This window comes from Homo sapiens, chromosome 12 (assembly GCF_000001405.40).
Source record: "Homo sapiens chromosome 12, GRCh38.p14 Primary Assembly".
In the NCBI taxonomy this organism is placed as follows: Eukaryota; Metazoa; Chordata; class Mammalia; order Primates; family Hominidae; genus Homo; species Homo sapiens.
Window position 1 is genome coordinate 106,324,623 of NC_000012.12, and position 23,536 is coordinate 106,348,158.

At 41.2% G+C, this 23,536-nt stretch overlaps 1 protein-coding gene across 20 annotated transcripts in view, besides 1 other annotated feature; it reads left to right on the plus strand.

Moving 5' to 3' along the window:
• Nucleotides 1–22,381, plus strand: part of TCP11L2 (t-complex 11 like 2) — a 49,069-nt gene extending 26,688 nt beyond the window's left edge. For 13 of the 20 annotated variants that reach the window (XM_047428667.1, XM_017019131.2, XM_047428666.1 and 10 more), the window contains 4 exons: nucleotides 11,017–11,204; nucleotides 11,410–11,591; nucleotides 16,204–16,376; nucleotides 21,664–22,381. In XM_047428667.1, the coding sequence (XP_047284623.1) occupies nucleotides 11,017–11,204; nucleotides 11,410–11,591; nucleotides 16,204–16,376; nucleotides 21,664–21,908 (788 nt within the window). In that variant the 3' untranslated portion in view covers nucleotides 21,909–22,381. Of the gene's footprint in view, nucleotides 1–4,707; nucleotides 5,548–11,016; nucleotides 11,205–11,409; nucleotides 11,592–16,203; nucleotides 16,377–21,663 lie in introns of those variants that run through there. The other 7 variants (XM_047428669.1, XM_047428671.1, XM_047428673.1 and 4 more) reach the window with 2 other exon arrangements.
• Nucleotides 6,681–7,182: an enhancer, noted in NCBI's record as "NANOG hESC enhancer chr12:106725081-106725582 (GRCh37/hg19 assembly coordinates)". NCBI's record gives its function as "activates a minimal SCP1, AML or CMV promoter by ChIP-STARR-seq in primed H9 embryonic stem cells {active_cell/tissue: H9 hESC(primed)}" and the evidence as "EXISTENCE:reporter gene assay evidence [ECO:0000049][PMID:30033119]".
• Nucleotides 22,382–23,536: the final 1,155 nt, after the last annotated feature.

Genomic DNA, 23,536 nt, shown 5'->3' on the forward strand with positions numbered 1-23,536 from the left:
TATTACAGTTGCTCAGGCAAGAAATGATGGTGGCTTGTTCCAGATGGTAATGGTGGAAGGAGTGAGAAGAGACCAGATTCTGGATACATTTTGAAAGTGGAGTAATCAGATTTGCTGAAGATTGGATAAGGGAGAAAAGAGTTGAGGGTGACTCTAAGGTTTTTGGCCTCGTACAACCGGGTGAATGGTCATACAGTTTGAGTGAAACTGGTGAGACCAGGAGAAAGAAGGTTGGGAGATGACATGGAATCAAGAGTTCAGTTTGGTGATGTAAACTTTTGAGATTTCATTTGACATCAATGTGGAGATGTTAGGTAGGCATTTAGATATGAATTATGAGTTTACAGGAATAATGGAAACTGTATATGTATTTGGGAATCATCAGTATATGTATGATATATAAAGCCATGGAACTGGGTACTAGTTAACACTTAGAAAATCCTTATCACACTCTAAGTACTTTACCTGTACAAACTAATTTAATCCTTGCAACAACTATATGAAGTTACCCCCCATTTTATGGGTGCGGAAACTGAGGCACTGTGAGGTTAAGTCACTGGCCTATGTAACACACTTAAAAGTATAGGAGCTCACCTAGGAAGGCAGCTTGGCTCCATAGTCCATGTTCCTGTCCATTATATTACACTGGGTGAGACTACCTAGGGGGAGTGAGTGTGGACTCTGAAAGAAACTGACGTGGGGCACTCCAGCAGCTAGAAGCTGAAGTTGAGATGAGGAGGAGGGTCTAACAATGGAGACTATGAGGGAGTAGCCAGAGAGGTAGTGTGACAGTCAGGAGAGGCGGGTGTCCTGTAAGATACGTGAAGAAGGTATTTGGAGAAGGAAGGCATGTTTGGATTTGACAAGCATTGCTAAGTGGTCAAGAAAGACACAGGCCAACTTGACCATTGGATTTGACTGTTTGATGATGGTCAGTAACCTTGATGAGAGTGGTTTCAGTGGATTTGTGTGCATTAAAGCCAGACTGGGCAGGGCACAGTGGCTCACACCTGTAATCCTAGCACTTTGGGAGGCCGAGGCAGGCACATCACCTGAGATCAGGAGTTCAAGACCAGCCTGGCCAACATGCTGAAACCCCTTCTCTACTAAAATCTAAAAATTAGCCGGGATGATGGCAGGTGCCTGTAATCCCAGCTGCTCGGGAGGTTGAGATGGGAGAATCGCTTGAACCCAGGAGATGGTGGTTGCAGTGAGCCAAGGTCGCATCATTGCACTCCAGCCTGGGGGGCTGAGCAAGACTCCGTCTCGGAAAAAAAAAAAAAAAAAAAAACCCACACACACCAGACTGGAGGGGGATCAAGGAAAAATAGGATTAGAAGAAATCTTAGCTCATCAAATCTTCACAATTACCAGTTACCCAGTGAAGTAGGTACTGTTATTCCCTTTATCTTACAGGCAAGGAAACTGAGATGCCAGAGGTTGCACAGCTGCAAGAGGCTGGCTAACTGCTCATTGGCAAACTCTTGACACCAGCCTCTGGGGTTTAATTAACCACTATTTAAGGCTGAGTTAGGTGGTTTCTGCCGAGATAATCAACACAATGGCCTTATATAAAAAAGACAAAACAGGCGCCACATTTAAAGGGGCCCTGGCAGGCAGGAGCACATCCAGGGGAGAGCACATTGATCATGGAGGCCACCTGAGGAACCGTCGAGGAAGCTGGGCATGTTCTGCTTGGTAACAAGGAGACTCAGGTGGGCCATGGCCCCATCCACCCTCCCTGTTGACAGCAACTCAGAGACTGGTGAAATTCTGTAGGGCAGACTAGGATTCATGAGAGGGAGGAAGCAGACAGCTGGTTTTGACCTTCCTGATAGTTGGAGCTGTTTTAACTTTGGAATGGGCCTATTATAGCAGTAGTCAGTGCTAGCTAACATTTTGTATGAGCACTTACTACATGCTAAGTCCTTACTGTACCACTTTAGTAGTCTATGCAAGCATCACACTAGCCCTATGAGGTTGGTACTGTTATCACCCCCTAATACAACTGAGGAAAGTGAGGTTAAGGTACTTAGTCTAGATGACTACTAGTAAGGGGTAGAGCCTGGGTAACCCAGATGTGTCTCTGACTCAAAGCGTGTGCATTTAGATACTGTGCAACCCTGCCTCTCTTCAAACAAGATATCAACTGTGGGGGATATTGCAGAGGGATCTCTCACATCATCTGGCAGATTATTTAGTCATCTGGATAGCCAGTTATCTAGTCAGATAACTTTTAAGTTTTGTTCTATAACAAAAACTCTATGACTCCAAGGGCTATGTTGTTTTAGCTTCAAAGGGGAGGGAGTAAAGTGAAGTAGAACCCTACATCGAACCTGGATCTGAAACCTCAACTGTGGCAACTGTCCACAGCAGCATTTCTCTGAGACTTAGTGGTTGCTTTCATTTGTGTACCTGTGTATGTAAGCACATGTACAAATGCACCCATATCTTTCATCAAGATAGCTTGGAATCTTGAGCAAATTCTCTAATAGGGTGAATTATGATTTTCTTCATCTCAAATTATTTGCCTATTTTTTTTCTGTTTTTTTTCTTTCCTTCTTTTTTTTCCCCCCTGTTTGTCTTTAAGAGACAGAGTCTCACTCTATTGCCCAGGCTGGGGTGCAGTGGCATGATGATAACTTACTCTAGCCTCCAATTCTTGGACTCAAGGGATTCTCCTGTCTCAGCTTCCCAAGTAGCTAGGACTACAGGCATGTGCCACCACGCCTGGCTAATTTTTAAAACATTTTTTGTAGAGACGGGGGTCTGTGTTGCTCAGGCTGGTCTCTAACTACTGGCTTCTTCCTGCCTCTCAACTTGCTGGGATTACAGGCATGAGCCACTGCACCTGGCTTGCTTCTCTTTTTAAAACCCAGGCTTAGTGACCTGTAATCCATTTGCAACTTTTCTATTGACTTGGATATTTTCAGAGATTTAAGAATAGAGCAAACCCAGCTTTGCATATAGGTCATTATTGCTTAGCAAGAGAAATCAAGAGTCCCAGAAGCAGAGTGTATGTCAGCTGTTAATTATGTCCCCAAGTCACTCTGCCAAAAGTCAGCCCCTGTGCCCTAATATCAAAATAAGAGCCTCAAAATGTTGGATTTCTGTGTACACATGATTATATAAGAATTATTAGAAAATTAATACAGAGAAGTACTCTAGATTTCTGAATTGGCTCCAGGAAAATATTTTATTTTGCCTAAGAGGAGATTTTATATAATTGCCTATTTTAAATATAGCCAGGAGAACCTTAGGAATGATTATCTGTACTAAGTAAGTAGCAACAAGATAACCACATTAGATCCAACATGTAAATTATCTGTGAAAATAGCAAGAGATTATCCCTGGGTGGGGGCCATAAGTAATTTTTAAGATACCCAGAAAGAAAGGCTTTATTTAGACAATACGTCATATCTGATCAAATGTTTTCATGAACTTTATTTCATGTTATTCTTTAAAAAAATTCTGTGGGACATAAATATCACTTTCAGAATATTTGAAACTCTATTGTGATTGCCTTCACCTGTCACATGAGGGGTTCAAGAAATATTTATGGAATATTTTAAAGAAGAGCAAACTGATGCTCAGTGATGACCTCCTTAGACTCAGAATCATTCAGCTAAGTAAACAGTGGAGGCTGGGCGCCATGGCTTACGCCTGTAATCCCAGCACTTTGGGAGGCCAAGGCGGGCAGATCATGAGTTCAGGAGATCGAGACCATCCTGGCCAACATGGTGAAACCCTGTCTCTACTAAAAATACAAAAATTAGCCGGGTGTGGTGGCGCGTGCCTGTGATCCTAGCTACTTAGGAGACTGAGGCAGGAGAATGGCTTGAACCTGGGAGGCGGAGGCTGCAGTGAGCCGAGATTGCGCCTCTGCACTCCAGCCTGGGCGACAGAGCAAGTGTCTGTCTCAAAAACAAAACAAAACAAAACAAAAAACAGTGGAGCTAGGACTGGAAACCAGGTCTCCCAAATCCAAGTCCAGATTAAACCAAGCTGCTACTTTTTCAGCCTTCTTTGAATTTTTCAGTTTTGTGTTATATTACCTGAGTTGTATTGCAAGGAACAGAAACCAACTCTAGCTGACTTAGCCAAAGGGAAGTGAATGGAAGGATGGAGGAAGTTTGCAGAATCAAAGGAAAAGCCAAAATGTCAGAAATCAGAAGAATGTCACAAATCTGGATAGGAAAAACCAAGGGATAGCAAGGCTCCATTGTCACGATGGTTGATGTGGGCTGTAAACGTAGGCCATCCCTGAACACTCTCACCACTCAGATCCCGGGAAGGAGTCGGCTCTGCTGGGCACGTGACTCTGCTCGGCCAGCCCCTGGTCGGGAAGATGGGGCCTCTGAATTGAGACTCACAAAAGAAAACATGGAACCAGAGGAAATGGTTTCTCAGAGAAAGCCAGCACCAAAAGAAGGGAAAGTGAGATGTTGCCAGGCAAAAAAAAAAGATGTCATGGATAAGGAAACTACATTTTTCCAACTGAAAATTGGGGTAGAAGCACGTGTAATACCATTGCTTGTTCTGGTGTCTGTCTCTCCCTTACTAGACTAGGAACTTCTCGAGTGCAGGGACTGTGCTTATTTACCTTTAAATCCCCAGTACTTGGTACAATACCTGGGACTGAGTAGGTGCCCAGTGGTTTTCGTCAAATAAACGAATGAGTGGAAAAATTCTTAATCCTGTCCCCAGGAAAAGCCGAGGTTGCAGGTGCCTCATGAGGCTGACCTTGCTTTTGGAACCAGAGAGAGCAGTCACCGTGCCAGCCTGTGAGAGTGAAGTCTCTGCCGATCCCTAAGAGAAGAGCCAACGTTTCACTCTAAACGCATGCTCCTTCTGCTTTACCGGTCATTCTCAAGTCTGACTACAAATTAGAATCATCTGGGGCGTTTAAACACAGAGGCCTGAGCCCTGCCTCAGACAGAATAAATCAAAGTCTCCAGGAGCTGTGCCCATGAACTCTTTTTTTCCTTTTTAAAGCTCCCCAGGTGATTCTAAAGTCAGCCAGGATTGAGAACCACTATGCCACACTGTTGCTTTTGTTCAAGGTAACTAAATGGGCTCTTAAATGTGTCAGCTGTAAATGATTAAACTTGCAGTATAAATGCTTATTACTGCCACATTGTAATTATATTCACGATGATTTCCACTCGCGCTCTCTCAGTTGGATGTCTTTTAAATGAAAGACTGCAAGTCTTTTACATCTTTATAAAACAGAACTAGCAAACCAAAAACAACATTTGCCAACTGAGGAGAAACAAGAGTTGTGAAATTCTGGGGGTGGTGTTGCTTTAGTGTGGCAAACAGAACTACTCATAAATTATCCCTGCTCAAGTGCTGGGTCCAAGAAGAATTTCAGTCTCTCTCTACTCTGCACCTGTGTTCAGGCTGTATTTCTTGGCAATTGTCACCTTATAAATTCTACCAAATGTATAATTGTATAAGAACTGTGGTATAAAAAGCAATTTGTTTCTAGTGGGAAACCTTAGAACTGGGCCTAAAGCAAAATAAAGTGAATTTTGTCCTAAGGCAGACAGCCCCAGTAGAGAATTACTGCCTCCAAACTTTCAGCCTCCTGGAATAGCCTTGGCATGTCAAATTTCATTTAGTTCATGATGTAAGAGACATTTTATTCAAAGTTAGAAGAACTACTTAGAGCAAAAGTAAATAAAAACTATTTGTCATCTAAGTCCGTGGTTCTCAACGTGGTTCTCTTAGGGGTGATTTTTGCCACTGCCCCCGCCCCACAACATTTGGCCATGTCTGGAGACACTTGTATGTCCCATCCTGGCAGGGCAGGGCGGGAGGCTGAGGAAGGGCATCTAGTAGGTAGAGCTTAGGTATGCTGCTAAACATTTTATAGTGAACAGGGCAGCCCTCAACAACGAAGAATTATCCAGTCCAAAATGTCAATAGTGCCGAGGTTGAGACACCCTAAATAAAGAATTGGAATGAATCCATTTCGTGATGACCCAAGGAACCATCTTATGCTCCAGGAAAATTTGGGCTTCAATAAGCAAGGAAGTCTGGTGGCCGTTGAGCACTTGGGGGTTGTTTTGTGTTTGGAATCAGTCTGATTTCAGCTAGTCATGGCTGCTGGTGGGTGCCTCCTTCTTCTTGCCTTCTTTCCATTGTCTAGAGGGAGCCATTTCCACTTGCAGAAGCGAGCCCTTGCAGAGGCATCTTTTGAAGCAACTCTGTGTGAGTTGTTTGTCATAGAAACTGCTAGCAAGGGAACTCTGCTAATAATAACTATTAGGCACCTAGTAACCTATATTGTAGTAATATTTAAGTGCCATATGCTTAAAAATGAAATGAATTCAAGTATAAAACCTCATTTCCAGTGATACATATTTTTTATCCAGAAGAATTGAACTTGATAAACTTGTCTAAAGTGGAAGGACAATCTAACTGGACATTGTCTTTAAGGTCATAGTCTTTAAGGTCAAATTAAGTATGAGACTCAAGTTCAGTGATTTCTTCCTTCCTCACTGCTTCCTTCTCCCTTTCCCATCTTGACTTCTGGAATAGCCCTTGCCAAATACCAGGGATCATACTGCATAAACTAGATTTTCAGTGTCTGCATGTTTTCCAGATAACATCTCCTTTAAAGCATTGGCTTTTCTTTAAGGAGATCTGCTGAGATTCTGCTCCCTCAAGCTAGCACGCTAACTGGTATCTACAAAAAGAAAAGAAAAGAAAAGAAAAAAGCCAAGTTCCCAAAAAAGCTCATTTTAACCACCCCACTGCTTAGCCTACTCACTCTTTTTATTCCACGGGTGATCACTTTGTCTGAGGCAACTTTGTTAATAAGGCAGCTGTTGTGTATCAGGCAGAGAACCTGACTGGGCCCTCTAGAGACAATAATCCCCGTCTTTAAAGGTTGTTTACAGAGTTTACAGTTGCTAACACTTAGGGGACATTTCCTTTGTGCCAGAAACGGTTCTAAGTGTTTTGCATGTACTAGTTTGTTGAATCTTTACCACAGCTTCAGGAAGAATATTATCCCCAATTCACAGACAGAGGAAACTGAGGAGACATTAGGTAACCTGCCCAAGACATACAGCTAATGAGTGGTAAAGGCCAGACCGAAGTTGAGACTGCCTGGCTCAGAGGCCACGGCTCCCAACTACTGCACCAGCCACTTGCTCTGCATGGGGGAGCCTAGCACAAGTTCTTAGTCACATGTTGATTGCTTTGATATTAGGTTGCACTAAATTGAGATTCATTCATCTGCAATGCAAATTTGACTCCCCAGTCAAGCTGCTTCTTCATTCTCTGTCTTGCTTTCTAAACTGTTGCAGCAGTCTGTTGCTGATCAGTCTCTTTGCACTGCAACTTATGTTTATGTTCTTGTCAAATCTGTTTCAAGGAATAAATGTAAAAGACTTGCCTGCCTAATTATACTGGGCTCTGTTTGACAGATAATCAGTTTTAGAAATGGACACTGTCAGTGGTAAGCTGGATGTGGTCGGTACAGACTTGGGAGCCATTTGCTATACTTTAAGGAATTTTGTGAGCTAGTAAACACAGCCATTACTAAAAATTAAATTATATAAATTTACAATTAAATACATTATATTAAAAACAAAGGTAAAACTCTGGGAAATCATTAGGCAGTTTCTTATTAAACGCAGTTACAACCTAGCAATTGCAATACTGAGTCTTTATCCCCAAGAATTGTAAACTTACATTCACACAGAAACCTATACATAAATATTCGTAGCAGCCTTATTTGTATAACCCCAAACTGAAACAACCAAAATGGCTTTCAACAGGTAAGTAGATAAACAGACTGTGGTATATCCATACAATAGAATACCACTCAGTAATAAAAAGGAATGAACTATTGATACATACAACTTGGATGGATGCTTAGAAAACAAAGCCAATCTCAAAGGGTTATTTTGCTGGTCTGCTCAGGCTACCATAACAAAGTACCACAGACTGGGTAGCTTAATATTAGTTTATTTTTCACAGTTCTCAAGGCTGAAAGTCCAAAATGAAGGTGCCAGCTGATTTGGTTCCTGATGAGGGCTTTCTTCCTGGCACTGCAGACATGCCTATTTCTCAGTGTGTGCAGATGGAAAGAAAAAGAGGAAGCTCTTTTTTTTGTCTCCTCTTTTAAGGGTATCAACCCTCATGACCTCATCTAACCCTAATTACCTCCCAAAGTCTCCATCTCCAAATGTCATCACAGTGGAAGTTAGGGCTTCATGATAGAAATTTGGGTGGCAGGTGGACACAAACAGTCCATAACAGCTACATATTGTATGATTCTATTTACATAACATTCTTGAAGTGACATAGTTTTGGTGATCAGTGGTTACCAGAATTTAGGGTTGAGGTGAGAGTGTGACTACTGGGAGGTAACGTGAGGAGATATTTTATGGTGATGGAATAGTTGAGTATCCTGATGGTTACAGGGATCCACATATGTAACACAATTTCTTAGAACTATACACACACAAAGGATGCATGCAAAAACTGGTAAAATCAGTATAAGTTAGTGGTATTGTACCCATGTCAGTTTCCTGATTTTGACAATATACTATAGTTATTTAAGATGCTGTCCTTGGGGGCAGCTGGGTGAAGGGTATACAGTAACTGTCTGTACTATTTTCACAACTTCTTAAGTCTTTTATTTTGAAATAGTTAAAGCTATTTCAAAATTTAAAAGTTATTTTTAAAGCCCTAAAAAACAATGAACTGTGATACATAAGTCGGTGTGGATAAATGTCAGAAACACTATGCTAGGTACTTTATGATTCCATTTATATGAATTTCTAGAAGGCAAACTGATTCATGCAGTTAGGAGTTAAAAGTAGTTGAGTGAGGTGCACATTGACTGGAAAGGGAGACGAGAGAACTTTCTTGGGTAATGGATATGGTTTATATCTTGTTTTAGGTGGTAGTTGCACAGGTATATAGAATAGCCAAAACTCACCAAACTGAACACTTAAGAGCTGAACATTTTATTGTATGAATTTATTATGTCTGTAAATATAAACATATTTATATATGTGAAAAAAACAAAATAATTATAAAAAGTAAAGGTAAACAAATACTAAAAACGCTTCACTTCCAAATTATCTTACTATTGTCTATAGTCTTGACATTAAAGAATCTCAAGACTGTACATATAACAGGTATAAAGTACCTGTTATATCTGGATGATGGAAACACTATGTAGCAGTGTTCTGTACTGGGCATCTCTGCTCAACTTCATATTTAATGACTCTCCTCCCACTTGCTCGTTCTACAAATGAGGAAATCAAAAGCTCAGGAGAGAAGTGAGGGCTATAGATACAGATTTAGGAGCCTTATGGGGTATGGGCGGAAATAGAAACCACAGGAATGAGTAAGATGGTCTAGTGAGATTGAAGAGTACCAAATCAGTGGGGATTGGGTAGAGTGCTTGGAAGTATCAACATTTAATGAACAGGCAGAGGAACATCTTCCTGTAATTGAAGGGAGATGCACCTGTCTTCTCAACCCAAGTATGAGATGCAGAAGCACAGCTAGGGGAAACCAGGAAAAAGTGGTGTCAGAAAAGCCAGGGAAAGAGTTTCTGGAGGGCTGTACTAAGAGATGTCTGTATTACAGAGATGTTTAAAAAAGGTAGGAAGGACATGTTTGTTGGATTTGACAACCAGGTGGTGGCCTTAGAAAGGTTATGGGAAGGATTTATTTCAGAACCTCTCTAGCCTATATTCTGTATCTTGGTAGATGGCACAGGCATTCATTCAGATGTCCAAGGTGCAAATCTGGGAGTCATCCTAGAATACTCCTTTCCTATTCTCTACATGTAAGTGGTCACCAAGACCTGTGGGTACTCCCCCTAAATATTTCTCACTTTTTCCCTCTTTACCCCTCACTTCCACTGCCCTTATCCATTCACTCTCTTGTTTGAACCACTGCAATAATTTACTCTCCCTCCACTAATTCAGTCTTTCTTTCCAAGCAATTTTTCTGACATACATATCTGATCATACAGGTTCCATGTTGAAAATAATATTATTCAGCCGGGCGCAGTGGCTCACGCCTGTAATCCCAACACTTTTGGGGGCCAAGGTGGGTGGATCATGAGGTCAGGAGATTGAGACCATCCTGGCCAACATGGTGAAACCCCATCTCTACTAAAAATACAAAAATTATCTGGGTGTGGTGGTGCACGCCTGTAGTCCCAGCTACTCAGGAGGCTGAGGCAGGAGAATCGCTTGAACATGGGAGGTGGAGGTTGCAGTGAGCTGAGATTGCCCCACTGCACTCCAGCCTGGGTGACAGAGTGAGACCCCGTCTTAAAAAAAAAGAAAAGAAAGAAAATAATATTATTCAAAACTCCCCATTCCCATCGCTGGTGTTTGTAACCTGGGGACTGTCAATCTGGTAAGAGAGAATGACAATTGTTTGTGGACATGTGCACGTGATTGTGCACATTCACTTTGGGAAAGGCATATCTCCAATTAGTTATTAAAAGTGGTCCAAGACCCAAAAATGTGTAATAATTATACTCTATTTTCTCTTCAGATTGTATAAATCTTTCACCTTTTACCAAAAATGTGTGAAAATTAATGCCTTTTCTCTAAATACCTTCTCTGCACAAACTCAAGGCTGGCTTCTAACCACCCATCCAATGCCATTTGCTACAACCCTCTTACCCCTAGTTCTTTATGGACCAGCAATACAGATTTGTTTGTGGCATCCAGAATGTGACATCTAGAATGTGCCATATGCTGTCTTTTCCAGAGCACTTACAGAGCTCTTCCTCTTAGATTCTTTCCTGGACAGCCTCTTTCCCACAATTACTAGCATTCATTGTACTCTGTTATAATTGTTAGTTTACAGGTCTGCCTTTCCATCTGGACTGTAAACTCCTTGCAGGGCATGGCTGTGTCTTCTCATTCATGCCCAGCACCCAACACAGCATCTGTCAAGTGGAATACACCAGTGAAGGGATCAATCAGCTGTAGAACAAATATGTGGCCTTTTCACTCTTAGGTGCTCTTGATCAGACTACAGAATGGATAAAAGAATCTGTAAATGAAGAATTATTTTCTCTTTCTGAGAGTGCTTTAACTCCTGGGGCCGAAAATACCTCCAAGCCAAGCCTGAGCCCTACTTTGGTGCTAAATAATAGTTACTTGAAACTGTTACAGTGGGATTATCAGAAAAAAGAATTACCAGAGGTGAGTGGTTTTGTTCTTCACCCAAATTTCCCAGTATTTTTATTCTTAAGTTCTAACTTTGAATCATCTGGTCTGTGTTTCATGTGGTTTAATGACTTTACAAAAATCAGATAAAAATGGGAATTTGGAAATGACATTGCCTGTTTTGTATTTTCATGCTATTGAGCTACCCTTTCTATTTTTATATTTTAAATAAATATGTTAGACACTTATGACAGATGGAGCACGTCTTCAGGAACTAACAGAAAAGCTGAATCAATTGAAAATTATTGCCTGCCTGTCCCTAATTACCAACAACATGGTGGGTGCTATTACAGGAGGCCTGCCTGAGCTTGCAAGCAGGTTAACAAGGATTTCAGCTGTTCTACTTGAAGGCATGAACAAAGAGTAAGTTCCAAATTTTTGCATCTGCTCCCTCTTGTATTAAGGCTCTGCATGTGTCTCAGAGAACAAGAATGACCTTGGACATCTGGATGTGAGATTCAGGACTGTGCTTTAGAGAAGCTTATCTTACACCTTTTTCTAGAATTTCCTTTAATATCTCTGAAGGCTTAGATGTCCTCTCATAGGAAGGGAGAGGTGTTTTCCATGACAAGTGCCAGGGTGAGTGTAGTATTTCCACTTACAATGAATGTGTACAACAGCTTTTCTTTGACAGTGCTTTGGAAAAAAACAAATGAAACACAGAAATCTGCCAAGCTTGATGTTTAGAATTGCGCAATTTTTTTTTTTTTTTTTTTTTTTTGAGACAGAATCTCGCTCTGTCACCAGGCTGGAGTGCAGTGGCGCAATCTCAGCTCACTGCAACCTCCGCCTCCCGGGTTCAAGCAATTCTTCTGCCTCAGCCTCCCAAGTAGCTGGGACTACAGGCATGCGCCGCCACGCCCAGCTAATTTTTGTATTTTTAGTAGAGACCGGGTTTCACCATGTTGGCCAGGATGGTCTCGATCTCTTGACCTCATGACTCACCCATCTCGGCCTCCCTAGAATTGTGCTATTGAAGAGGGCTTTCCTCCAGTTGTTCTGACTTCATCATTTTTCTGCAGTGAAATGTTTACTGACTTCACAAATCCACCTTGCTACGAAGTCTTCAGAAGTGCTGACAATTCTGCCCTTCAGAGATGTGACACAGTCCAGTGAAGATTTTGGTTTTTGCTAAATTTATCTCCAGTATTACACCTTCATGAATGCTAGAATCCCATTTAGATTTTGCATTTACATCATCCAATAGGAATTCCTATCTAAGTCAGAAATTCTTAGTCTTGGTGAATGGCCAGATGGTTCTATGGGTCTCTTATGGATCAGCTTCTGCTGGTTCCCCTTTCAGGTGTCTTCAGAGGCATGTCCTCTTTATTCCTGTAATTGAAGGGAAATGCACCTGTCTTCTCATCCTCCCACCTATTATTCAGAGAGCATATAAATTACTTGATGAAATCCTAGACTATTAAGAGCCAAAAGGAGCCCATGTAGTTACAGAATCCAACTTCTCATTTTGAACTGAAGCTTACAGATAGAATAGAATTTGCCTTGGGCTGCAAACAGAAAAGGGCAGACCAAGGACTGAGCCCTGATCTGACCTTTCTCCTGATTCTGATGCTCATTAATATTCCAGGACCAAGACCTATAATGAAAGGAAACCTCTGATTTTGCAGTTGGTCTTATCTTATGATTTCCCTGCATGGGTAGTCATTACTTTCCAGAAACTTTTATTTATTAAGCCTTTAGGGAATACCCAGTGCTGCTGAAATGTTATTATAAAGTATACAGAAAGTGGTTACTAAGAAGACAGGCTTTCGGGTCAGATGGACCAGGGTTTAAATCCCAGCTCTGCTACTGACTTATTATGAACACTTGAATATGTTCTCAAATTACTATGAGCCTGACTTCCTCACTTGTAAGAAGGGAATAATAATTGTATTAATATCTACCTTGGAGTTGTGAGAACTTAAGATGATTCAGGTACAGATGTGTGGCACGTAATATGTACTCAATGAATGCTAGCTATTAATAACTAGTCATTAAATCATCCTCTTTATAATTGTATCTGGTTGTTTATCTGGTTGTTTCATTGTTTAAATTTTTTTCCTGTGTTAGGAAATCAATACAATCAATTCTCAATTATCCTCATTACGGATGGGGCAATAGCATTCATAGTATTAAAAAAAGGGATAGTACTAAATAATAGACCAAGATGTCATTTATATTGGGTTTGATGATGCATCTTGAAAACTAGAAGGAGTTTTTCCCTCTTCATTGTGAGTAGAAGGCATGGCTTATGCTAAGACAACTTTTTTTGAAGAGCTGAAAGAGGATTTATTGATTAATTGATTTTTGCTTTTTTTCCCTTTTTCAACTTTTATTTTAGGTGTAGGGGCACATGTACAGGTTTTTTACGTGGGTAAATTGAGGGTCACTGGGGTTTGGTGTACCAGTGATTTCATCACCCAGGTAGTGAGCATAGTTAGTTTTTCAACCCTCACCCTCCTCCAGACCTCCACCTTTAAGTGTAGGAGCCAGTATCTGTTGTTCCCCTTTATGTCCATGTTTACTCAGTGTTTAGTTCCCACTTATAAGCGAGAACATGTGGTATTTGGTTTTCTGTTTCTGAATTAATTTGCTTAGGATAATGGTCTCCAGTTTTACCCATGTTGCTGCAAAGAACATGATCTTATTCTTTTTACAGCTGTATAGTATTCCATGGTGTACATATACCATATTTTCTTTATCCAGTCCACCATTGATGGTCATCTAGGTTGATTCCATGTCTTTGCTGTTGTGAATAGTGCTGCAGTGAATATATGAGTACATGTGTCTTTTTGATAGAGTGATTTCTATTCCTTTGGGAATAAACCCAGTAATGGGATTGCTCAGTTGAATGGTAGTTCTGTTTTAAGTTATTTTAGAAATCTCCAAACTGCTTTCCACAGTGGCTGAACTAATTTACATTCCCACCAGCAGTGTATAAGTGCTCTCTTTTCTCTACAACCTTGCCAGAATCTGTTATTTTCTGACTTTTTAATAATAGCCATTCAGGCTGGGCACGGTGGCTCACACCTGTAATCCCAGCATTCTAGGAGGCCGAGGCAGCCAGATCACTTGAGGTCAGGAGTTCAAGACTAGTCTGCCCAAGATGGCGAAACCCCGTCTCTACAAAAAATACAAAAAATAATTAGCCGAGCATGGTGGCGCATGCCTGTAGTCCCAGCTACTCAGGAAGCTAAGGCAGGAGAATCACTTGAACCTGGGAGGCAGAGGTTGCAGTGAGCCGAGATTGTGCCACTGCACTCCAGCCTGGGTGACGGAGTGAGACTCCGTCTCAAAAGAAAAGAAAAGAAAAAAATAGCCATTCAGACTGGTATGAGATGGTATCTCTCTGTGGTTTTGATTTGCATTTCTCTAATGATTAGTGATGTTGAGCATTTCTTCAGATGCTTGTTGGCTACATGTATGTCTTCTTTTGAGAAGTATCTGTTCATGTCCTTTGCCCATTTTTTAATGAGGTCGTTTTTTGCTTGTCGAGTGTTTAAGTTCCTTGTAGATTCTAGATATTAGACCTTTGTTGAATGCATAGTTTGCAAATATTTTCTCCCATTCTATAGGCTGTTTACTCTGTGGATAATTTCTTTTGCTGTGCATAAGCTCTTTAGTTTAATTAGGTCCCACTTGTCTATTTTTGCTTTTGTTGCATTTGCTTTTGGGTAATTCATCACGAAATGTTTGCCAAGGCCTATGTCCATAATGGTGTTTCCTGGGTCTTCCTTTAGGGTTTTTAAAGGTCTTATAGTTAAGTCTTTAATCCATCTTGAGTTGATTTTTGTATCTGGTGAAAGGAAGGAGTCCAGTATCAATTTTCTGCATATGGCTAGCCAGTTTCCCTTTAGCCTAAGAACTCACTGATTAAAAGCAAGAAAAATCTAGGGCAGTACATTGTAGTGGATAAAAAGTCGGAAGGTAAAAATTTTATTACAATCAGTCTATCCTTGGGTTACAGAATTCCAACGTCAGGTCCAGTGTGGGCTTATAACAAATTCCAGTCAAGGCAGAATGCCAAGAACTTATTTCTTATTGCTGTTAATGATGATAAACATGATAACCTATTTTTCTCTTTTCCTTCTTCCATGTGCCTGATAATCTGCTAAGAGCTAAATATTAGACACATAGAAGTTCAGTGGTAGAGCCAGGATTTGAACCCAGCTCCACATAACACCATAGCTTATGTTCCAACTCGCTCCGTTATACTGCTTCCTATCATTGAGCCCTTCTCTCATCCTTTAATTCCCATTTTGCAGAGTTATCTTAAGGACCTTTTCTGGATAGTGAGATAAAATTTTCAGTCATCTTTCCCTAATAGTGTGGACCCAACAAATGCCTTTTCTAATTACCTATTTTTCCTTACCTACTAAATAACTCACTCTTTAATTACCTTTACAACTTTCTGGACTCTATATATTGGAGATTATTTATCAGTTACTTGAATAATGTGAAGGAGCTTATTATCCTTGGTCATGATCAGCCAAAAGTTCTAGGTATTTGACCTCTGAATATCTTCATTTGTTGTTTTTGATTGGTGTTATAGATTTACTGCTCAGGCATAGATGAATTGAGTCTACTTCATTTATCAAGTGCATTTTTTAAAATGTGTGAATGAATCCACTCAGACCAACAAGTTTAAGAAGTAAATTGGTGTTTTCTGTCCCTTTCTGATAGCCCTGCAATATAAATGGGGTTGCAGGTGCATTTTTGGGGACCACATTTTCTGCTTATGCTTTTCTATTTAAACACTGCTACACAATTTAATGATTTTAAGCATTTAGAAGTCTGCTACATCAGAAGGTTGGTGGTTGGGAGGAGTTACTATTTTATGAGTTCATTCTAATAGAGGTTATTATTGTCTGTATAAGAGAAATTTGGTAGACATCTAAAACAAGTCTGTATATTAAAAATAATAACTTGATGAACAAAAACTTTCCCTGGTGGAATTTCATTTTATGTTTCATAGGACCTTTAACTTGAAGGAAGTCCTGAATTCTATTGGTATTCAGACTTGTGTTGAGGTTAACAAGACCCTGATGGAAAGAGGTTTACCCACTTTAAATGCTGAGATTCAAGCTAATCTTATAGGTCAATTTTCAAGCATTGAAGAGGAGGACAATCCTATCTGGTCCTTGATTGGTGAGTCCTTTTATTGATTTCTGCTTCAATTCCAATTTGCTTTAACTTGCTGATTTTGACTAACATTAAGTCAGTCAAATTTTGATCTTAAACACATTACCCACTTTTGGAGGATAAATATTGAAAATATCAAGAAATATTAATGTTTTCAAAGGCCTAGGACTCATTGCTGCTTCTGTGTGTCATGGAGTTGGGGGATGTTTCAGGGCCTATTATCTATTCAGCCAATAGATTTTATGACAAGAATAACAGAGTGCTGGAGTAATGTTAAAATCCTAGATCAATGCAGTAATTCAAACCAGCTGGCAGTATGTTCACAGATAGTAGATATGAGTTCTGCTGTGAGCAGCTCTGAAGGAACTTGGTCAGGCTTAAAGAGACAAAGACTAAAAATGTGTGGATCCGGGAGACATAGTGTGTAGGCTTCTTTTTGTAATGGTCAGCCAGGAAATTGACTGTCTCAAAGTCAAGCTGTGTTGGTGAGTTGGGAAAATGGATAATGTATCAGTTAGGACTTTTTCTGCTACCTGTGACAAGAATCTAAACTTCTAAACTAGCTTAAACAAAATGATCATTTATTTTCTCATCTAACTGAAAAGACCAGGGGTAGGACTGGCTTCTGGTACAGCCTAATGAGAGTTCCAGCTGTCACTGGCACTAGTTTTCCCGCCTCCAGCTCTCAACACTACCTTCTCCTGGGCCAGCTGCCTTCACAGGCAGACTTTTCTCATGACAGCAGGATGGCTTTAGCTCCAGCCTACAACCTTCCATATTTAAGTCCAGTGAAAAACAAGGAATCTGCCTCCCTGTTGGCTCAAACAGTGACCCCATCATTGAGTCTCAGTGGCTCCAGTTAGCCTGACTATGGTTCATGTCCCATTCTTGAATTGGTCATGGTGGCCTGAGGGGAAGAAAGTTAAGCCTGAGACATGTATTCACCTCCTGGAGCCAAGGAAGAGTCAGTTTTCTCTGTAACACCTGATGAGAGTAGGGAGGAGATGGTTACCCCCAAATAAAATCAGAGTATTGTGGCCATAAGGAAGGGGAGAAGCTGCCGTGTGGTACAAAGCAGTTGTCTACTACAGAGGTTGAAGGATGAAAACCAAAAGTAGAAGAGTGTAGAATTAGAATGTACTAACCTGCTAGGACTAATCTGCAAATTTTCAAAGTACAACATTGACGGCCTTAAGAATACAAATACATTTTATTATTGATTTGAGGCTTTCAAATGGTGTTGTTCATCCTTATCCCTGGGGACATGGAATGCTGGGGATCCAAGCTTCAACTTTGCCCCCAGAAAGGAACAGTGTTGGTGTATACGACATTGTGGGCTGCTGGAGAGGCTGCTCCTAAGAGGGGACAGTTGATAACAATAACAGATTATGACCACTGTCACCTGTGGCCAAGCCCTTATCTATATACCTTCACATGCTGACATGCATCTGTCCTCAGAGCATGTTGTCCCCAGCTGAACAGGTAAAACCTGAGAGATGGTGTTCTAGGAGGAAGAGGGATAGAGTAGGGACTGAGACACTGCCCAGCAGTCTCTGCAGCATACTGCCAGATCCCCAGTAGTGTGCAGGCCTCATGAGGACAGCGTGCAGGTTTGTTCACTGCTATATTCTTGTGCAATGCTGCACGTGCACATATATTTAATAAATATTTGTGAAATGGGTAAATGCATAGGAGACTTGGAGAGGTTAAATAACTTTCACTCAAAGTCCCATAACAAGCTGGGGGCAGAGTCTGTCTTCCCCAGCCTGTCTGACTCCAGAGCTCATGTTCCTAACTGCTCTGACTGGCACGTCAGTCAGAGCTGGAGCGCTGTTGCTTGCTGGCAGAGTGGCCAGAGTGTCAGAGTGTACTCTGTGACTTTTCTTTGGATAAGGGAAATGCTTGCAGTATCAGAAGGAAGAGGGAAGCTGAGGGCTAGGAGATTCCTCTTAAAATCTGGTAAAGCAACTTTTGTCCACCCAGCTTTCCCCAGTCCAACTTTCCTGTCCTTTTGCAAATTGAAAGCATTTTTAATCTCATTCAAAGTACTGTTGCCCTAGCAACTTAAGTGACTCACTTGAACGTCTCTTCTTCGACTCTGGAAGCCAAGGACACGCCTTTGGCAGGGACTCCGTGTGGCTGCTCCTAACTTTACAAACACTCCGGTCACTTTAGCCTTTGCCTAAAAACAGACTCATCTGCAAAAGAGGCAAAAGAGGCAGAACCACTTGCTGACATAATAAGGATTTTGAAAGGGTTTCATTTTTAAACCTTCTTATGGGAAAGCGTTTGGATCATATCTGTGATGATATAGACCTGGGCCTCTGAAGGTCAGGCAACTAGTCTAAAGGGAAAGTAGTACACAGTTAACTCTAAATGTATGCCTGCAGAGGAGTTAGAATAAATTAAACAGAGAGATTCCTGGAACCTGAGAAGGGCTTGATCAGTGTTGGCCATGGTTTTCCTCTGCTAAGGGTACCCACAGTATGCTTTCTTTTGTTCTCAGTTGATGCGCTATTTATTTACTGAAGGGATCATAATCCCCAATTCCCATTACAATTCTTAACCTTTTGAAAAGATATTAGAAAGGGATTTTTCTGTCGAATACATACTAAGTAAAAATTATGGATTACCTGCTGTGTAAATTATTTGCATGCCTACGTCTACTTTTTTTTTTTTTGAGATGGAGTCTTGCTCTGTCGCCCAGTCTGGAGTGCAGTGGTGTGATCTTGGCTCACTGCAACCTCTGCCTCCTGGGTTCAAGAAGAATACTTCTGCCCCAGCCTCCCTAGTAGCTGGGACTACAGGTGCGGACCACCAAGCCCAGCTATTTTTTTTGTATTCTTAGTAGAGACGGGGTTCCACCATATTGGCCAGGCTGGTCTCAAACTCCTGACCTCGTGATCCGCCCACCTTGGCCTCCCAAAGTGCTGGGATTACAGGCCTAAGCCACTGTGCCTGGCCTGCCATCTACACTTTTAACAAGTAATTTCAGTTGCACAGGTGATACAATAATTTCTCCTTGTAGAAAAATTACAGACAAAGGCCAGGCACGGTGGCTCATGCCTGTCATCCCAGCACTTTGGGAGGCCAAAGCAGGAGGATGGCTTGAGGCCAGGAGTTTGAGACTCTCCTGGGCAACAGATGGAGACCCTGTCTATATATAAAAAAAGAAAAAAAATACAGATAAGGCTTAAGTCACCTTTGTTTGCCTTCTTCAGTCCCCATTTTCCCCTGGCTGCCACGGTTTTCAGTTCGTTATTTATCTTTATAGACTCTTTTCAGTCCATTCTCACTTAAGTTCAGTCAGCATTTACAATGTGTCTGTCACATGACAGACCAAGAATATAAAGATAAAAAAGATATAAACCTCACGCTCAGAGAGTCCACTGTCCAAGAAGGGAGAGAGACACCTTCTCAACTGGCAATCATATGTCACGATAGTCTGGTAACAGATGCTAAGGAAAGTCACAGAAAGGAGGTAACTTTTGGCACGACATTGAAGGATGCCTCTGATTCTGGGCAGAGATGAGATGAAATGAGATGAGATTGAAGGGCATTCTAGTAAAAGGAAAGAATTCTAAGACATAGACATTGGAAACAAGTTCTAGGTCAGACCTAGCTGGAATGTATGATTTTTGTGAGCATTCTTTGGTGATAAGAATTTTAGTAGTATCATAGTTGTCTATATTCAATGTGGCATATTTTCCTTAGTAAACCTTCTTATTGGTGAGGTTTCTGTTCCCAAAGCCAGAGAAAGCCCTTGGAGCAGCCTGAGCTATAGCAGGTCTTTTCTGTCCAGTATTATTAATAGTTGTCCTATACTATTGCAGCCTGATTTCCATATGCATTTCTATGCTTTTGTGTAGTCGTCTCAAAGTCAAATACATTGAGGCAGTGATGCAGGAAGGGCAGGGAAGGTGGCACAATGGTGTGCTGGTTGGGATGTCCCTTCCTCAGTGTCTCCTGATTCTTGGCCATGTGTGAAGTACCCTGTAACTTATTTAGTATTAATTAATTATGTTTGAGATGGAGTCTCCCTCTGTTGCCCAGGCTGGAGTGTGGTGGCATGATCACAGCTCACTGAAGCCTCATGAGCTCAGGCAGTCCTCTCAACTCAGCCTCCTAAGTAGCTGGGACTACAGGCACACACCATCATGCCTGGCTAATTTTTAAATTTTTTTTGTAGAGATGAAGTTTCACTATATTGCCCAGGCTGGTCTCGAACTCCTAGGCTCAATCAGTCTCCCACCTCGGCCTCCCAAAGTGCTGGGATTACAGGTGTGAGCCACTACGCCTGGCACCATGTAATTTATTGTTCAACCAGGGTACTTTTGAGAGTCTCTTTTTAAAATTATGCCAGGACAACAGGTGTAAATTTTGACTGTCCTGGGGAAACCTAGATGTGTGGTCCCCCTTGCCATGTGGTAATTTGGGCCCCCAAGTTTGCCAGATCTCTAGATTTTTCAAGAGAAAGCAGAAATATGGATTTCTATGTGAAATCTCCTGATTTTAAATGGCTTCTGTTTTTAAAAAAGACACTGCATGGGCCAGACTGGCAATGCCAGTTTACAAACTCAGCTTTAGTGTATGTAATTATAATCATGAACATTTAGGATTAACTTTTGTAGAAGATTCCCCCCAAATAGGGCTCTGCCTTTTTTTTTTTATCAGTCAGCTATTGCTGCATAACAAAATACCACAAAACTCCTGAGCTTAAAAAAAATAAGCATTTATTATTACTCACCAGTCTGTGAGGCGACCGGGTGGCTCTTTTGGTCTTGCTGAACTCACTAATGTATTTGTGGTTCAGCTGTGACTCAGGATGGAAGCTTTGCTGATCCTGGCTGGACTTTCTCAGGTGTTTGAATGCTGGTTGGCTATGGGTTGGTCTAGGATGGCCTCAGATGGAACAGCTGGGTTTCCCTCTCCTTGGTCTCTCATCCTCCAGCAAGCCCAGGCCTATTCTCATGGCGGTAGTAGGTAGACGGTGGACATGAACAAGAGTGGCCTCTTGAGGCCAAGGCATGAAACTGGTACTCTGGCATTTCCACCGCATTCTGTATTGGCCAAAGTAAGTCACAGGGCCAGCCCAGATGGAAAGGATGGGAAAAACACACTCCAGCTTTGATAGGAGGAACTGCAAAGCTACCTTGGAAAGGGGATGGGTGCAGGGAGGGGTAAAGAATTGGGAACATTATTGCAGTCAACCTACTACAATTACTTGTTCTTGTTTTTAAAAATTATGTACTTTAATAATGGACAGATAAAAGTATCTTTTTTTCCCCTTCAGATAAACGAATTAAGCTTTACATGAGAAGGCTACTTTGTCTTCCAAGCCCTCAAAAATGCATGCCTCCTATGCCAGGAGGCCTAGCTGTCATTCAGCAGGAGCTAGAAGCCCTAGGCTCTCAATATGCAAACATTGTGAATCTCAACAAACAAGTGTATGGACCATTTTATGCAAATATACTTCGAAAGCTGCTCTTCAATGAGGAAGCCATGGGGAAGGTAGATGCTTCACCTCCTACTAACTAAAGAAGAACTGACATTGGACGAGAGATTGGAAATCCAGTACTTTGGTATCCAGTCCACTTCCATTGATGGCATTAGAGATCCAGCACATTCTCAGTACTGTGGTGCAGTATTAGCCCAAATCTGTGTAATGGGTAATATTAGCATTACAGAAGACACACACATCACATAGACCCTCAGAAGACGTAAACATCACATAGACCCTATTTGTGCATCATTTTCAAGTTTAAAACAAATATTTGTAATGAACAGAAAACAATTTGTAATTAATTATATTACCTATATAATACTTGTAAATGTTTTCTTAACCATTTATATTTGGCTTATGACATTTAACCCCTAAGGAGTTGTTTTTCTCACTTGTTATTATCAAACCTAATGGTTTTTAATTTTGGTACAACTCCTTAAAGGGTTGAAGGTTGTGACAATAACTGAGGGAACTGATGTTCTGAATAAATGATGTGAAGTAAACACAATTGTATTTGAAATGTACAATTACATTTTATTAATGTGTTAATAGAAACTTTCAAAGTAAGTCCTCAAATTCCACAAATGTACCAAATCACACTTTATAATACCAATGGTCAGTATTTATTTAGAATTTTAATGTATTAAGTACATTTTCATGCTATATACAAACTTCAGATAAAACCTCCCTTGTTTGTTTAGTGAAAATAGAAGCAACTCCCTTCTCAAATTATTCTAGAAGTTTGTTTCTTCTTACAATTTAGTCTGCTCTCCAAGAAAAACAATTTTTGCACAAATCTCTTAGTGAATGTCCTTGCAGTTCTCAGGCCATTGATAAGGTTTATATAAGAGTTTAATATTTTTATGTGAGGCAGGGCTCATTTGGTTTACTTGTAAGAAGAAGAAAGGGAGTCAATGATAAAATGAGATCCCATTCTCCATGAAGTTCATATCTGAAAAAGAAACAGTTAAACTTTGGATTTCTTACCCATATAACTTAACTACCAGATGTCTTTTGTGCTGATGAAAGCTTTACCGTGTTATGACCAAGATGCCCTCCTAAGGATCATTATCATTTGCCTTTTTTTTTTTTTTTTTTTTTTTTTGAGACGCAGTCTCACTCTGTCGCCCAGGCTGGAGTGCAGTGGCGTGATCTCAGCTCACTGCAACCTCTGCCTCCTGGGTTCAAGCAATTCTCCTGCCTCAGCCTCCTGAGTAGCTGGGACTACAGGCGCCCGCCACCACGCCCAGCTAATTTTTGTATTTTTAGTAGAGACAGGGTTTCATCATGTTGGCCAGGCTTGTCTTGAACTCCTGACCTCGTGATCCACCCACCACGGACTCCTCAAGTGCTGGGATTACAGGCGTGAGCCACCATGCCCGGCCTCATTTGCCATTCTTTTTTTTTTTTTTTTTCTTTGAGATGGAGTCTCACTCTATTGCCCAGGCTGGAGTGCTGTGGCACAATCTCGGCTCACTGCAACCTCTGCCTCCCGGATTCAAGTGATTCTCCTGCCTCAGCCTTCCGAGTAGCTGGGATTACAGGCATGCACCACCATGCCCAGCTAATTTTTGTATTTTTACTAGAGACAGGGTTTCACCACATTGGTGAGGCTGGTCTCAAACTCCTGACCTCGTGATCCGCCCGCCTCAGCCTCCCAAAG